Consider the following 17,160-nt stretch of genomic DNA (forward strand, 5'->3'; position numbering starts at 1 on the left):
GCCAATAAATGTTATATAGTTTAGAAAAAATATATAGCATTTCAGATTATGTATAGACTGGCTACAAGACTGAATCAGATTGACTCTATTTAAATAAGGCTAAATCTTTATCCTTTATTTTTATGATGTTTTACTGCTTTCAAAGTAGTGTCATATGCATTATCTAATTTGATCATCCTTGACGCAGGGAAGACAGGTTATTATACTTTCATTATACAGATGCAAAAACAGATGATTACATGATTTGCCCCTGATCACATGGCTAATAAAGCAGTTAAACTGGGACTTTGACCCTGGATTTCTGGTTGCTACCCCCAAGACCCTCCTTCAAAAACAAGCTGGGGGAAGCTTTGCTCATGGCTCCTTGGTTTAAGAAGTTCCTACTGAAAACCTAGATCTGATTCTGCAACGGGTCCCTCTCCTGGTCTTGAGCATTTTAAATGTCCCATGCTTGACTAGAATCATCCGGGTAGGACACATGCCATTCAGGCATCGATGCTACACAGAATGGTGCCTCCAGTGGACTCTTTAGCTTGGAAATGTATGAGCATGACTGGAGAACTTGCCAAGGACAGCACCCACACTCTGGGATGAAAAACAGGCACAATGTTCTACAAACATCCAGTTACAACAATCTTTAAAGGCCGCATACCAGGTTCTGGAATCAGTTTCCCTATCTTCTCCCTAAAGAACTAGGGAGTGCCCTTTATGAGAATGGCCGAAGGAGTAACTTCTGGGGAGATCTGTCTGAAGCCTCTGCTGGGTCCCGTGTGGTTTGGCCTGGGACATCCGCCTCCTGCTGAGAGGTGACAGCGTGCTGGCAGTCCTCAGAGCCCTCGCTTGCTCTCGGCACCTCCCCTGCCTGGGCTCCCACTTTGGTGGCATCTGAGGAGCCCTTCAGCCCCCCACTGCACTGTGGGAGCCCCTTTCTGGGCTGGCCAAGGCTGGAGCCCACTCCCGCAGCTTGCAGGGAGGTGTGGAGGGAGAGGCACGAGCGGGAACTGGGGCTGCGTGTGGCGCTTGCGGGCCAGCTGGAGTTCCGGGTGGGCGTGGGCTTAGTGGGCCCCGCACTTGGAGCAGCCAGCCAGCCCTGCTGGCCCCGGGCAATGGGGGACTTAGCACCTGGGCCAGTGGCTGCGGAGGGTGTACTGAGTCCCCCAGCAGTGCCGGCCCACCGGCGCTGTGCTGGATTTCTCGCCAGGCCTTAGCTGCCTTCCCGCGGGGCAGGGCTCAGGACCTGCAGCCCGCCATGCCTGAGCCTCCCACCCACTCCATGGGCTCCTGTGTGGCCCGAGCCTCCCCGACGAGCACCACCCCCTGCTCCATGGCGCCCAGTCCCATCGACCACCCAAGGGCTGAGGAATGCGAGCACAGGGCACAGGACGGGCAGGCAGCTCCACCTGCAGCCCCGGTGCGGGATCCACTAGGTGAAGCCAGCTGGGCTCCTGAGTCTGGTGGGGACGTGGAGAGTCTTTATATCTAGCTCAAGGATTGTAAATACACCAATCAGCACCCTGTGTTTAGCTCAAGGTTTGTGAGTGCACCAATCGGCACTCTGTATCTAGCTGCTCTGGTGAGGACATGGAGAGTCTTTATATCTAGCTCAGGGATTGTAAATACACCAATCAGCACCCTGTGTTTAGCTCAAGGTTTGTGAGTGCACCAATCAACACTCTGTATCTAGCTGCTCTGGCAAGGACGTGGAGAACCTTTATGTCTAGCTCAAGGATTGTAAATACACCAATCGGCACTCTGTATCTAGCTCAAGGTTTGTAAATACACCAATCAGCACCCTGTGTTTAGCTCAAGGTTTGTGAATGCACCAATCAACACTCTATCTAGCTGCTCTGGTGGGGCCTTGGAGAACCTGTGTGTGGAAACTCTGTATCTAACTAATCTGATGGGGACGTGGAGAACCTTTGTATCTAGCTCAGGGATTGTAAACGCACCAATCAGCGCCCTGACAAAACAGGCCACTCGGCTCTACCAATCAGCAGGATGTGGGTGGGGCCAGATAAGAGAATAAAAGCAGGCTGCCCGAGCCAGCATTGGCAACCTGCTCGGGTCCCCTTCCACACTGTGGAAGCTTTGTTTTTTCGCTCTTTGCAATAAATCTTGCTACTGCTCACTCTTTGGGTCCACGCTGCTTTTATGAGCTGTAACACTCACCGCAAAGATCTGCAGCTTCACTCCTGAGCCCAGTGAGACCACTAGCCCACCGGGAGGAACGAACAACTCCAGACGCGCTGCCTTAAGAGCTGTAACACTCACCGCGAAGGTCTGCAGCTTCACTCCTGAGCCACCAAGACCACGAACCCACCAGAAGGAAGAAACTCCGAACACATCTGAACATCAGAAGGGACAGACTCCAGACGCGCCACCTTAAGAGCTGTAACACTCACTGCGAGAGTCCGCGGCTTCATTCTTGAAGTCAGTGAGACCAAGAACCCACCAATTCCGGACACACTGCTTCTGGACCCTTACTCCTGCTCACAGGCAGTGCTTCCCCAGGGCTCATTTACCAGAAACGACCACACACTGGGTTTTCCAATTATAAGAAACAAAAACTTGTTGCCTCAAGTAGTAGGTTTTAGCAGGTGGATATATGGGACAAGTTAAACACACACACACACACACACACACACGTTCTGATGAGACCTCACAGAAAGCCAGAAAAGCCATGCCACCAGGCTTCAGAGAAACAAGCGGCCCAGGACAGGGTGGCCCACAACAGGGGAAGTCCCCTCTCCTGCCAGTGTCACCATGCAGCACAGACAGGATGCAGCACTCCCACCTGGACCCCAGCCTTGGAAGTCCCTCTCACTGTGATGGCAAGGCCACCCCTTCAGGGATGCCACAGGTTGAGGCCAAAGATGAAGACTGTCTTATGAAACACAGTATTTCCTGGATTGACGTTCAGATGCTTCAGTGGAGACCATGTAATACAAATGTGTGCTGGCTTCTGTCTGCAGCCCAAGGGAGCCTCGTTAACTTCATGTGAAGAACCCTAACAGGAATACACGTGCAGAGATGGAAAGGTAATCAAAGGCCCACTCTAGAGGCAGCCACTAAGGCATGAGCTACATTTATCTTCTGATCTGTAACAGAATCTTAATTAGTACCAAGATATTAGAAATTACTTTTCATTGGTGAAATGAGTTTTCAAGATGAGTGAACTGGCTACAAATATTGTACAGCCCCTTCCTTCCCTAGTATGAACAGGGTATAAGGAATCGGGGAGCCAAATTGCCTATGGCTTTGGAATGGAATCTGAAAATGCTTGCTGGAGTACTCTGTAACCTGCACAACCAGAGAGTCAGCTGAGTCTTGTGGCTAAAATACTCTCTCATCTGTTTAGAATGCATTTTCACACAAGGTGCCACCAAAGCACCTAAGAGGACAGACACCTGGGACTACATCGAGCTTACTGCAGCTGGATGCTGCCTTGTTGCCAGCGGGTGTTGACGTTTGCTTCCACAGCACCATAGTCTGTTAGTGGGAGAGTAGCCTGCGAGAGAGAACGCCTAAAGGACTCACTCAACGTTAACTGAGGCTGTCGACAATCTCTCAGAAAGAACAGAAGAATCCTGCATGATCCAGTCAATGTGACTTAGGACCTTTTGCTCTGAGAACTTTAGTATTCTCACAAGTAATCAGGGAACTTCGGAGCAAACGCTGAGTTACTCATACCACTGAGTACTGTTCCGTGACCTCACTCACACCCAGAAACAAAGGGGTCTGGGGAAATTTGGGGTTACCTTTATATTCCTGAGCAGGCCTTCCACACTGCCATGCTCAGTAATGTGTGGATTTCACAGCACCAGGATTTCTGATCTCAGTTAAATACAATTCAGTTTGTAAAAATCAATCTTAAAGCACTTTGTTTTAATCTTTATTCTCTTCAATTAGAAAAATACATACTACAAAAGTTTCACATTATAGAAAACAGAAAAAAACAAAAATTCCCCCAGAATCCCACCCTCAGAGATGGTTACTCCTCTTTGGTAAGTATTCCTCCAGGTTTTTTAAGCATATAGTAGTACATAAGCAGGAAAAAGTAAAATCCTACTATATATAAGCAACTGCTCTTGAGCAAGTTTTCAAATGGTTCTGACAGATCATTCTGACCAATTTCTCCAGGGAACTTTATGGATTAGTTTTCAGAGAAGATTCCATGACACTGTGGGTAGACAAACCTCTAAGATTTTTCTTATCATTTATAATAAATGTTGTCCCAAGTGTTAAATGTCAAAGTTTTTAAAAATAGTAAATAAATGTGATACAGAGGAAAAAAAGTTCAGAAAATTATCCCAGTTTCTTATCAAAATCAAAACTCCTAAGTCCCAATTCCAACAAGTACCATAAAACGTCTTTAAAATGCGATTTTGAGAAACAATCACTTCTTTATCATAAAATATAGCTATAGAAGTAATTCTACAATTTTGGGTTTTTTTTTTGAGAGAAGGTCTCACTCTGTTGCCCAGACTAGAACACAGTAGTGGCATGACCAAGGCTCACTGCAGCCTCAACCTCCCAAGCTCATCTGATCCTCCCACCTCAGCGTTTCGCATGCCTGGCTAATTTTTTTTTTCTTTTTTTTTTTGTAGAGACGACGTCTCACTATGTTGCTTCATTTAACAAATAAGGGGAGGAAGGGCGGGGGCAGAATGGAGGACACAGACTAGAGTTCAGCTTTTACAAGTGGCAAAGGACAATTTGGATTCGGCCTCCCACAGCTTCATTTGTAATGCTTTCAAGACATCTTCCATCTATTGAATTTAAAAAATAAAAAAATAAAGAAACACACATATAATTAAAAATTATACATGGTTAAATATAATTAAGATATACACTTAATGCAATTTTGGATATGTCATACATTACAAGGTAGATATTCAGTGTTTAACAAAACTATTTAGAGGCATAAATTTTTTAAAAATAAAGCATAATTCTATCAACAGTAGTTCTCAACCTATAATCTACATCTCTTTTATACAATCATCACCATCTCACCTATCTGGCAATGAGAAAATGTTAACATCCAACAACAAGGCTATTTATACCACAAGAATTGAATCAAACAAAATACTGATTTGAATCAAAGATGTATTTCTAGCTTTGCAGTGTTTTAATATATAGTTTTGATTTTGACATGACATGTCTTCCTCATTATTTTGTTGATTAAGCTTTAGCTTTTGAGTTCCCCAAAAATCAACTTTACTAACAACTGAAATGAAATAAGCACACTCTTCCTGCAATCAACACAGATGACGTTATGAGAATTATCGTTTGTGGGGGAGCACTTCTTCACTGACAAACTGTTCATACAAAGATATAAAATGTACAGAATAAAATTACCTGTGTTAGAGACTTTTCTATTTCAACTCTGCTTTCAAGATTAAAAAGCTCTTTATCTTCTGACACAATTTGCTTTTCAGAGGACCCTAAAACATAACTGAAGTACGGTACAAGGTTAAAATACAAGCTGGGTGTGGTGGCATGCACTTGTTCCCAGCTATTCAGGAGGCTGAGACAGAAGGATCATCTGAGGCTAGGAGTTTGAAACCAGCCTGGGCAACACAAGACCCCGGGCAATATGCCTGTAGTCTTAGCTACTTGGGAGGCTGAGGCAGGAGGATCGCTGGAGCCCAGGAGTTCAAGGATGCAGAAAGCTATGACCACAGCACTGCACTCCAGCCTGGGCGACAGAGTGAGACCCCATATCTTAAAAAAATAAGTTTTAAAATAAATAAAAATAAAAAGCTGGGGGCAGGGGGCAATATCCTACTGAACTACTTTCAATTTTTAAAAACAACTGAATATACTTTTATTCCAAAAATTTTCTCACAGTGTTTTCTCCTACAATTTAGAGTGTCTGACTTTTCCAATACCAAATAAAGAAGGAGGTCAAAGCAAAAAAAAAAAAAATTACTGGCTTGTTAGAAATCATTACTTGAAAATATATTTAACCAAACAGTATTGATTTAGTTCTGACAATTCCGTGCCTTAACTTTCTGAAACACCAGTTGTGAGGTAAACATTTATATATCAAACTTACCTTTCAATGGCTTCAACACTGAGGCAAAACAAGTCTCTCTTGTAATCAAGATTCTTGGGCGTGCATCTGTACACGTAGCCAAGATTGAGTGAGCACCCCGCGCAGCACAAAGTCTCAAGGACGCTGCAATAAAGAAATGTCTTGCTTTAGGAAACGAAGCAGCAACTCATTATAATAAAAATCTCACTGTTAAAATCCATAAACACCTCAGTTTCTCAAGTATGCTATTCTGACCACACTAGGTCATACATAAAGGATAGGAAAAAATGATAGTAAGATATTTACAATAAAAATGTAAAGACAGCCACGATGCCTTAAGTATCAAATGACAAGGGACATACAAAAAAGTGACAAGAGAGAATATTGAGGTGGTGTTTTTCTAGAATATAAATTCCTCCATCTGGTACTAATGTAACAAAGTGGAGAATAAATATTTTAGCCTCGCCAGCCATCTGGTGTCTGTCACTACTCACCTCTGCCATTGTAAAACGGAAGCACCTATAGACAATACTAACTGAATAACCTGTGTTCCAATAAACTCGTATTCACAAATGGGTGCCCGCCCCATGGGCCATAGTTTACCAAACTCTGCTCTAGTGGAAGGTAATACTGCTTGGCTTAATAAAAAAAAAGTCTCTAAAGTTAGATGACAACCCATGTAATTGTTTCTTCATTCTAGTTACCTCTCAACTCAGGTTCCACACACTTGAATATACCCTCCCCCAAAGCCTATTCATGTCTCCTTAAAACCTGGCTTAGAATCCAGTGTCTCCCAAACGCCTTGTTGAACTGACCCATCCAAATTTACCATTCTATAAATATACTAAAATTACCATTCCAACACATAGCAAAATGATAACTAGAGATTTAAATCTAGTAGTGATCACAGTAGTAAAACATACACCACAAACGATTTTTATTACAAAAGTATTCTAACTCCTACTCAGTATGTGAAACACTTGTAATCACTAAATATCCATTCCTGCTATCAAGCAAAAGGGAGCTACCCAAGACTCACAGATTATAGACTACATCATTGTTTACTTACAGATACTGAGACACTGTTAATTATTACAGCAACATATGGAACAAAGAACAAAATGGATCACCATCTGATTAAGTCATGAATTCTCACTGATGATGTGATTAGCTGGATAGTATGCCACTGATTACATATTAAGTGTCTACGGGCTTTTATAAGCTTCTATATTTTAGTTTTATAGTAGAAATAGTCTCGCTATGTTGCCCAGGCTGGTCTCGAACTCCTAGCCTCAAGCAATCCTCCACCTTGGCCTCCCAAATGTGAGATTACTGGCAGGAGTCACCATACCCAGCCAGCTTGTTTAAATGTTTATATGAGAAATAAAAAGCATGTCGGTAAATCCCACTTAAATTACTCACAGTGAACAGGTAAACCTCCATGCTATATATCAAACCTCATTACCATTATAAGACCGCCTCACACCATTACCAAGACTGCAAACTAATATCTAATGTCATCAGCCAAGAAAGGACACTCAGAGAAACCAGAGGCTTGAACTCCCCAAATCCACTGAGCCATGAATAAGACTGTTTTATCCCGAGTTATCAAAATCAACCTAAACACCACCAAAAATAGGAACAAACCCATTCACACTTCTAGAATCATCTTGTGGAGCAATGAAGAGATGGTAGCTAGTATTAAGGCAGCAACTTTCCGCTTTCACAGTTGGCAAGAATTTGGCCAGCATTCACCCCTTTCATTGAACAGTAACATTGAGAAGGCAGTGCCAATAATCGTAAGGTGATGTTAGACAAGGAATAATCCGATTGTTAAGATCCTCAACAAAGGACAAAGTCAGACTTAACAGAGAAAACAGCACTGGCACCTTCACAACATATTTCTAAAGCCCACAGTGCTCTTGCTGACCATCAGCAGAAAGGCTCAGGCAGGTATCAAAAAATTCACAAGCATCCCAAAGCAACACGGGAGTGTGCAGCACACAACCCTAGTGAAGTCCAAGACAACTGAAGGCAGTCTAATCGATGGGTTTAGGTGATACAAACAGTATTAATAACTCTGGATCAAAGAGAGTGAATTCTCTATCAATCCTGATTAGAAAAAAGAAGAAAGTCTCGGTTTGGTGCTAGACTGTCTTTGACACTTGTCTCATAGTCGCAAATCTTTTAATAGTAACAGAACAGACCTCAGGCAGAGAACCAGCCAGGCAACAACATCTCAGCTAGAACTAATAACATTTGTTTTCACTGTAATTATCTTCAGAGTTACTTTCTAGTTATGGCAAGTATGTATTTATGATAGTAAAAACAATCCTTTTAAGACAAATTTAAATAAAAATTTTGAGTTGATTTAATTTTAAAAATTTAGTATGTAATAGCACAGTTGGTACCTGGTACACAAATAGGACAAAAATGATGGTGATATCAAAATGGCTAGAGCTAGAGCTAGAAAGTGGAGAAGAAAGAGCACTTCGAAGGCAGTAAGGAAGGGTAACAAGCATCATCCTAGCTCTTACTGCTAATTAGTCCTGTGACCTTAGCAAAGTTCTAGCCTCCCTGGGCCTAACTTTCTTCAACTACCAAATGAGAAATGATCTGAGGTGGGTTTTCCAAATTTTTATGGCCTGCATGCCGGCACCACAATTTCTGTCACATCCACAAACCATCTGTACTATTACTAATTTATCTTAAATGGAGAAACTTTTTTTCTTTTTTTTTTTTTTTCACTTTTATGGAAGAGATACATAGGGCAAAGGTTACAGAAGGGGGACACAGAGCTTCCAAGACCTTTCTAGGTACACCACCCTCCCGGCATCTCATATTCACCAATCTGGAAGTTCTCTAAAACCCATGGGTTTTTTGGAGGTTTTATAACACAGGCATGATTAATTACACCATTGCTGATAATCTCTAGCCCCTCTGCCCTCGATGGAGGTAGGAGAAGAGGTTGGGGTAGGGCCAAAACTTCCAACCCTCTAATCATGCCTTGGTCCTTCTGGCCCCCAATCCTGAAGCTACATAGAAGCCCCCCAGCCACAGTCACCTCATTAGGATTAAAAACGACATTATTATCACTCCAGAGATTCCAAGCATCTTAGAAGCTCTTCTGTCAGAACTGGGGACTAAGACCAAACATGGTAACAAAAGATACCCTTATCACCCCATCACTCAAGAAATCGAAAGGGTTTTAGGAGCGACTAAGTATTGAATGTTTCTGTCCCCTACCACATGTATAAGTTGAAATGGTAGCTCCTAATGTGATGGTATTGGGAGGAGGGGTCATCAGGAGGTATTTGGTCATAAGTGCACAGAGTAATTTTTTTTAAATTGAAATATACTTTATTTGATAGGATACTCTAGCATCACTAAAAATGAAAAGCCAGTATTTTTAATACACATTAAAATATACACATAATTAATTTTTGTTTAACTGTGTACCACCTAAAGTTATTTCATACGCAAGTGTAAGATACAGTTTACATTTGCAGCAACAATTATATAGGGCAGCGCTTCCCACTCAGTTTGCTCAGGCGTCACTATGGCACATGGGTGGCAGGTATGGCAAGATATTTGTCCCCTCTACCCTTAAAGTGGCCACACAGGGCTTCAGATTGCTGGAGCTCCTGTGTTGTTTGCTCTTGCCACAAACAGCCTTGTCTGTTTACCCCAATAGGCTGTGTGTGTGACAGCAGCATTTTATGTGTGTGCCATAACATGAGAAAGTTGGGCAGCATTAGCCTAAGGCACCCTTTAACATTGAGATTTTATAATATAGGTATTTCCTTTTCTTCTTTTTTTTTTTTTTTTTTTTTTTTTTTGAGACGGAGTCTTTCTCTGTTGCCCAGGCTGCAGTGCACTGGCGATCTTGGCTCACTGCAACCTCCACCTCCGTAGTTCTAGTGATTCTCCTGTCTCAGCCTCTTGAGTAGGTGGGATTACAGGCCCGCACCACCATGCCCGGCTAATTTGTGTATTTTTAGTGGAGACGGGGTTTTGCCATGTTGGCCAGGCTGGTCTCGAATTCCTGACCCCCCGGTGATCTGCCCACCTTGGCCTCCGAAAGTGCTGGGATTACAGGCGTGAGCCACCGTGCCCGACCTTCTTTTTCTATTTTTATTTTTGATTTTCTTCAGCACCAAGCCCAAAGATCCAAAAAGGGAATGTCAGCATATGCTTTTAGAAATCTAGAAACTCTAACTTTTCAATATCTAAAGGTGACCACAACCACTCAAGAACTAACATATTCCTTTCTAAAACAGGATATAGAAAAAGCAAAAAAAAGAACTGATATATGCGAACGACTGATTTTTTTACTATCATGAAAAGTTTTATCCCAAGTAATCTTACTACTAGTAATGACCTTTTAAAGATTTTTATTAAAGAAAATTCTCTAACATATTCATATAAATACAGTTTTACTCACCAACCATTTTCCTTTTCACGTTTGGATAGCTTCTGTTCCTTATCCACAGAAACATTACAGGAAACACCTAGAAACAGAGAAAGTAACAATAATTTATTAATGTAGTTCGTTATAACATACCTGCAGACAGAGAGTTTCTAATCCAACTTTTTAGAACTCGGAGGACAAAAAATAAGCCCAAAGTCAAACACACAAAAGAGCGGTTTAAAACTAAATGTACTGGGGTCTTCTGGGAAAAGATAGCAGAATAAGAGTTATTTCCAACCAGGCGCAGGGACTCACACCTGTCATCCCAACCCTTTGGGAGGCCAAGGTGAGAGAATGGCTTGGGGCCAGGAGTTCGAGGTCAGCCTGGACAACATAACGAGACTCCATCTCTAAAAAAAAATTTTTAAATAAAAATTTAAGAAAAATTTTAAAAGGTTATTTCCTCCCTTTCCCTGAAAACCACTAACATTAATAGAATGGCTAAAATTAGAGGGGAAAATTCATTCCACAGTAAACTTGGAACAAGTAGAACCTCAAATCACACACTGCAAAGAATTATCTGCCAGATAGTGAAATTGGGTTCCAAACCTAGGAAGATGCAAACAGCCAACACATATATCTCCAGATTTCAAACACAGGGCCCATTTCTCTAAAAGTAACTGAGAGGGTCCTCAGGATCCCAGCCACACATCTTTTACTTGAACAATGACTTGGACAGAGGTCACTGCTGGACTTCAGAGGCAGCAGCAAACATTCCCAAAGAATCCAGCTCTAGGAAACACTAAAGGACAGGGTAGAGGGTGAAGAGAAATGAAGAAGGGACATCTGACCTAAAATGGCCAAAACAGACTCTTGATTTCACGGCCTCCTACAGTCTACCTTAACTCGGTAAACTCCAACTCCATCTACCTGCTTGCTGAAATCAGAAACCAGGGTGTCATCCTTGATTCTTTGTCTCCTCATCCTGCTCCCCTGTATCTACTCCACTGATCCATCCCATCAATTCTACCTCACAAACTTCACTCCAGCCCCCAAACCACCAGCACCACCTCTTGCCTGGACTACTGCCCTGGCTCTTCACTAACCTCCCCACTTCCATACTTGTTCCTCCTTCAATGCTTTCTCCAAAGAAAATGCGGGGTCACATTACTCCCCTGCCTAAGCTAGCATAATAACGTACTCACTAGAACAGATTACTACTCTTTAGAACAGACTACAACGCCTTGCAGTTTCTGATCTCTTCCTTCCTCCCTAAATCTTATCTTTATTCTCTTTAACCAGTCTCAAGGCTTTTGCACCAGCTGCTCAGCACCTGTCAAAAGCAAAGAGCGTGACCAAGAACTGTACCTGCAGCCAAGCTAGCATTCACTTATAAATACAGGAAAATAATCCCAGCACTTTGGGAGGCCGAGGCAGGCGGATCATGAGGTCAGGAGATCGAGACCATCCTGGCTAACATGGTGAAACCCCGTCTCTACTAAAGATACAAAAAAATTAGCGGGGTGTGGTGGCGGGAGCCTGCAGTCCCAGCTACTCAGGAGGCTGAGGCAGGAGAATAGCGTGAACCCGGGAGGTGGAGCTTGCAGTGAGCTGAGACTGCACCACTGCACTCCAGCCTGGGCAACACAGTGAGACTCTGTCTCAAAAAAAAAAAAAAAAAAAAAAAAAAGGAAAATATTTTCTAGCACATAAACTTGAAATTTTCTTGGAGATGTGGACGTGGGGAGCACTAATGATTAATCAAACAATTCAGGAATGAAAAAGCTATTAAGAAGCTTTTTTATGTTAATGAGTACTGGAGTTGGGAAAACAATTTATATAAACTTTATAGGATTGGGTGCTGTAACTCACATCTGTACTCCCAGCACTTTAGGAGGCCGAAGCAGGGGATTGCTTGGGGCCAGGAGTTTGAGATCAGCCTGAGCAACATAGCAAGACTCTGTCTCTACAAAAAATTTAAAGATTAGCCAGGTGTTAGTGTGTATCTGTAGTCCCAAGCTACTTGGGAAGCTGAGCCGGGAGGATAGTTTGAGCAGGCGTTCAAGGTTACATACAGTGAGCTATGATTGCGCCACTGTACTCCAACCTGGGCAACAGAGGGCTGTTAACCCACTATAACCCTATTAAAAAAAAACCTATTAAATAAATAATCCTATTTTAAAAAATCATAGTTAGGCTGTTATAGCTACAGAACAGAATGTAAATGTACAGAATGTAAATGTATAAACCTTGACAAAATGAAAATAATTAAACTAATTCAAATTGGGTAAGGAAGGAATGGAAATGAATCCGAGTTCATTTATTTGTCTTTACTGGGGGGTGTGGGGAGGTGTTAAATCCTATTATCTAAATCTGATAAATCAAAAAATGTATAGTTCTTTAAATTTTAAACTACTATTTTAGAACTATGTTTTAAATTTAAAAGCTATTGTTATAAAAATTAAATAACAAAAACAGTCTTTCTATAAGTAACGCAAAACAACGAAAAGAGCCCACATGGCAAAAAATACACTCTATCGAAACAAACAAATAAAATGAAAGATGTAACATCAAACACGTTATTCCTTAAAAACATGTAAACAAGGGAATCTCATTCAAACAAAGAGCTTTTCCTACCTAACCAAAAATCTGCTTTTTTCTTTTTTTTCTTTTTTGAGACGTTGTCTCGCTCTGTCTCCAGGCTGGAGTGCAGTGGCGCAATCTCGGCCCACTGCAACCTCCGCCTCCCGGGTTCAAGTGATTCTCCTGCCTCAGCCTCCGGAGTGGCTAGGATTACAGGCGCACACCACCATGCCCGGCTAATTTTTTATTTTGGCGAGGCTGATCTGGAATTTTTGTATTTTTAGTAGAGATGGGGTTTCATTCACCATGTTGGCAAGGATGGTCTCAATCTCCGGATCTCGTGATCCGCCCACTTCGGCCTCCCAAAGTGCTGGGATTACAGGCCTGAGGCACCGCGCTCGGCCTGGTTTGATTTTGATAGGTGCAAAGAGTTAATCTCAACTTTCAGTTAACTACTGGACACTGGTGTGCTCCTTTATTCCCAGTATTACACCAAGGAAAACGTTCCAGAAACGTCGATAAGCCGGTGGTGAATTACTGCCATCGGAACATTTACGGCATTCAAAGACAGAAAAAACTTCATCTTGAAAAATCACAATCCAAAAACAACAGCCATTCTTACACCAATTCATAAAAAATATGTGAACCACTTTATCCCTAAATACTGCAAAAACATCAAAATGAGGGAACAGTGGAACAACAGAGGTAAGAGGTAACTGCTAGAACCAGGATTAGAAACTAATTCCTGCCTTCTTCTGAACTCTTTTGCTACATCCTCCTTCCTCGCCAGTTTTCATGGGGTTGTTGGTGCTTTTATTGCAAGTTTCCTTCCCTTTCTTCCCTATAGCACTGTGTTCCGTCAACTCTGCGGCTCTATCACTGGAGGCTGTAGAGGCATCCGCTGATACACCAACAGCCTGCTAATTTCTATGGGGAGTAATAGTACTGGCTGCACCTCAAGTGCTTACAGTCTAGTTGACCATTTGTTTCTCTTTTTTTAGGGTCTTTAAAAGTGTTATTCTTTGTCGCCCTTTGTTTCTGAGTAATGCTCACGATGATGCTGATTCAACCACTGCTCTTCTGGGATCGGGGACCCCAGAAAAGAACCCACCGCCCGAGAGCCAAAGTGGAGGGGTGACCCTCCTCCCCTTTTCCTGCCACAGCTCACACTCTCAGACTTTTTGCTCTTAAAGTCCCTGGGCAGCCCCAAGGAGCCCCCGCCTCCTCCCGGGCCGCCCACGCGCGGCACCCCTGGAAGAAGGCGACCCCACGCCCCCCCTGCCCGGCTCGACCCAACTGACAGCGAAGCAGGATGCAGTTGGTGTCCTCCTGGCTGGCCACCCAGCTCAGCGAGTCGCCCAGCGGCCGCCGGCAGCCGGAGCACAGGAACACCAGCGGCCTCTCCTCCGCAGCCGCCGCCTCCTCCTCCAGCTGCGCCCTCTCCATGTCGGCCACCGACGCGTCTTCGCTCATGGAGCTCCACATGCTCGCCCACTTCTGCAACAGCTGGTGGCGGCTCGAGTCTTCGGAGAGTCTCTTGCCCAACAGCGAGGAGTCGCTGCATTTGCCCTTGTCGCCGCACTCACAGCCGCCAGCGCATCCTCTGCTACACCTCAGTGACCGAACGCCTGCCATTACCTACAAATCGCCCGCGCCCCAGAGCGCCATGGGAAAAAAAACCGCCGCTGCTCATGCGCGGGGCGGGGAGCGGTGGCGGAGGCCGAGAAGGGGCAAAAGCCTGAAGGGGGCGGGACGGCGGGCGGCCTCTAGTGCGCATGCGCGCCGTGCGGCCTTGGCCAAGCGTGATAGTCACTGCGCCTGCGTCAGGTTTTCCAGCCTGAAGAAATTGATGATGCAGACCTGTTTGCTTGTCTTCCTAAGGATTATTCACCCCTTTCCGTGGGAGGGGCAGCGTCACTGAGAAAGTTACGGGTTGCAAGCTTGAGTGTCTAAGAACCGCCTGGCGAGCTTCTTAAGCAGATCGCCAGGTTCCATCTTCGCAGACTCTGGTTCAGCAGGTAGCAGGTTAGCCCGAGAATCTGCATTTCTAACAAGCTCCTAGGCGTGCCCACGCTGTCAGTATTGGCAGCCCAACCTTTTTTGGGGGGTGGGGGGGGGAGTTTTTCTATGTTGCCGGTCTCGAACTCCTAGCCTTAAGCGATCTTCCCTACTCGGCCTCCCAAAATGCCAGGATCGCAAGCGTAAGCCACTGTGCCAGACCACCACCCTTTTTCTTCTTTTTTGTAAGTGGACTAATTATAGTTGTATATAAGCAGCTCCACTTTTGATGACCACTGCTCTATTTTGTCGGCTCCTGGGGACCTCCTTTCCATGAAGTGGAGAAGGAAGGGGATAGAGGAGTCCCTCATCACAGGGTCCTTTTGCGCACTGCTATCCCTGGAATGAGACCCTGGGAAGGGCCCCGGATCACTCAGGCTGTCACTGCAAGGAAAAAGTTGAGGAAGCAGCAGTGCCCCTGGAAAGCCTGGAAGTGTCCCTGCTGCTTGGATCAAGGAACAATTCGTCCTTGCAAGGAAGAAGCATCCCTTGTTGATGATAAGGACAGATTTCCTCAGCTGCCCCAGAAAGCCAGCCTCTGCCTAAAACACCGTAGGTCAGGAGGGAAAGCTGGCGGGGAACCAGCCAGCTGCACCACAGACAGTCTGGTGGTATACCTGGGAAGAAAGCTACCTGCAAGGACCTACTCTGTTCCTACTACGCTCTGGGTGTCCCCCAAGTCACTGCCTATTTTGCTTGGTTGCATAAACTATTTATGTAAATGTACTTCCAATTTTAGTGCTTACAGCCACTAGCAAAAAGCAAAAGCTTTGGAGTCAGTGGTCCTGGTTAACTTACCCCTCCCTCCACAAGGTAGTAACAGTGTAGGGAACTGTGGAAAAGGCTGTTTGCCTTCCCTGAGTCTAATTCTTCATGGAGTAAATGGAGTCTGTTTCTTCAGTACTACACCAAGTTGTTCATGAGGATCGAGTTTTCTAATATTCATGAAAATACTTTGTAAACCCTGGCACACCATGCTCATGTTAATCACCTTCTTACTGGAAGAAAATGCTTTAGATAATTTAGGCTTTTTTTTTTTACCCATAGAATTCCCTTCCTTCCTTCTGCTTTTTTTTTTCTTTTCTTTATTTTTTCAGAGATGATGTTTCAGTATGTTGCCCAGGCTGGTCTCGAACTCCTGGCCTCAAGCGATCCTCCTGCCTCAGCCTCCCAAGTAGCTGGAACTACAGGCATGCCTCACCATACTTTGCCCCTTCTACTTTTGTAGAGCCAAGCCTGACCTTCCTGGACTGTTGTTTTCAAGCATAATATCTCTGGTACAACATTGATACAATCCACATGAGTTCTTTAAGTAAGTGGCTAGTTACTTGGGGATTCAAAGGATCATCTTGTCTCAGACTTTGGGTTCCTATTGTCAATACTTAAATTCTATGATAGGATGCCCCAGGAAAGAAGGAATACAAGGCCGAGCTGCGTGGTGACTTTCAGGGGCCCTATTTTTGCCTTAGTAGGCCTTTCTCTCCATAAAACAGTTAATAAAAATTTCATTTTATAGTCACATTGCTATGAAGATGATTATATTAAAATGATATCATAAAACATTTTTAGACCTGTAAGTTCATTTATTGCTCTTGATTAAAAAAATTGAAACATTTTCATGGTCCTTCAGAATATCATGGTTTGTAGGCATGATGCCTCCTGCACATCATGGAGAAGTTGGCTGATGCAAAATGAATTCCTCTATAGGCACAAGTGTGTTTGTATTAATATTATGAATATAAAAACAAGGCTAGCCATGGTGGCTCATGCCTGTAACCCCGGCACTTTGGGAGGCTGAAGCGAGAGAGTCACTTGAGCCCAGGAGTTTGAGAACAACCTGGGCAACATAGAGAGACCCTGTCTCTACAAAGATTTCAAAATTAGCCAGGCATGGTGGTGCGCCCCTGTAGTCCCAGTTGCTTGTGAGGCTGAGGCAGGAGGATGGGTTGGGCTTGGGAGGTCGAGGCTGCAGTAAGCTGTGATTATGCTATTGCACTCCAGCCTGGGTGACAGAATGAGATCCTGTCTCAAAAAAATAAAAAACAAAACAAAACCTCAGCTAACCACAAAA

The 17,160-nt window shown here is 43.9% G+C and overlaps 1 protein-coding gene and 1 long non-coding RNA gene across 5 annotated transcripts in view, besides 4 other annotated features; one reads left to right on the forward strand and one right to left on the reverse strand.

Moving 5' to 3' along the window:
* The window catches only part of MIS18A (MIS18 kinetochore protein A), a 124,368-nt gene extending 109,667 nt beyond the window's left edge, over positions 1–14,701 (reverse strand). For 3 of the 4 annotated variants that reach the window (XR_002958619.2, XM_017028400.2, XM_017028401.2), the window contains exons 1-3: positions 14,333–14,701; positions 10,482–10,548; positions 6,059–6,181 (exon numbers count right to left, since the gene is read on the reverse strand). Coding sequence is in view for 3 of the 4 variants with exons in the window: in XM_017028400.2 (XP_016883889.1) it covers positions 6,059–6,181; positions 10,482–10,548; positions 14,333–14,666 (524 nt within the window). In the remaining variant the exon portion in view is untranslated. Of the gene's footprint in view, positions 1–3,879; positions 4,770–5,358; positions 5,456–6,058; positions 6,182–10,481; positions 10,549–14,332 lie in introns of those variants that run through there. The other variant, NM_018944.3, reaches the window with a different exon arrangement.
* Positions 13,950–14,451: an enhancer, noted in NCBI's record as "H3K27ac hESC enhancer chr21:33650609-33651110 (GRCh37/hg19 assembly coordinates)". NCBI's record gives its function as "activates a minimal SCP1, AML or CMV promoter by ChIP-STARR-seq in primed H9 embryonic stem cells {active_cell/tissue: H9 hESC(primed)}" and the evidence as "EXISTENCE:reporter gene assay evidence [ECO:0000049][PMID:30033119]".
* Positions 14,452–14,951: an enhancer, noted in NCBI's record as "H3K27ac hESC enhancer chr21:33651111-33651610 (GRCh37/hg19 assembly coordinates)". NCBI's record gives its function as "activates a minimal SCP1, AML or CMV promoter by ChIP-STARR-seq in primed H9 embryonic stem cells {active_cell/tissue: H9 hESC(primed)}" and the evidence as "EXISTENCE:reporter gene assay evidence [ECO:0000049][PMID:30033119]".
* Positions 14,452–15,114: a biological region, named in NCBI's record as "H3K27ac hESC enhancer GRCh37_chr21:33651111-33651610".
* Positions 14,857–16,651, forward strand: MIS18A-AS1 (MIS18A antisense RNA 1). The gene has a single exon (NR_046576.1). It is a non-coding gene; the product is annotated as an MIS18A antisense RNA 1 (long non-coding RNA).
* Positions 14,895–15,114: an enhancer, noted in NCBI's record as "active region_18360". NCBI's record gives its function as "activates an Ori minimal core promoter by ATAC-STARR-seq in GM12878 lymphoblastoid cells {active_cell/tissue: GM12878}" and the evidence as "EXISTENCE:reporter gene assay evidence [ECO:0000049][PMID:35858748]".
* Positions 16,652–17,160: the final 509 nt, after the last annotated feature.

The sequence above is a fragment of the Homo sapiens genome, chromosome 21 (assembly GCF_000001405.40).
Source record: "Homo sapiens chromosome 21, GRCh38.p14 Primary Assembly".
NCBI classification, from domain to species: Eukaryota; Metazoa; Chordata; class Mammalia; order Primates; family Hominidae; genus Homo; species Homo sapiens.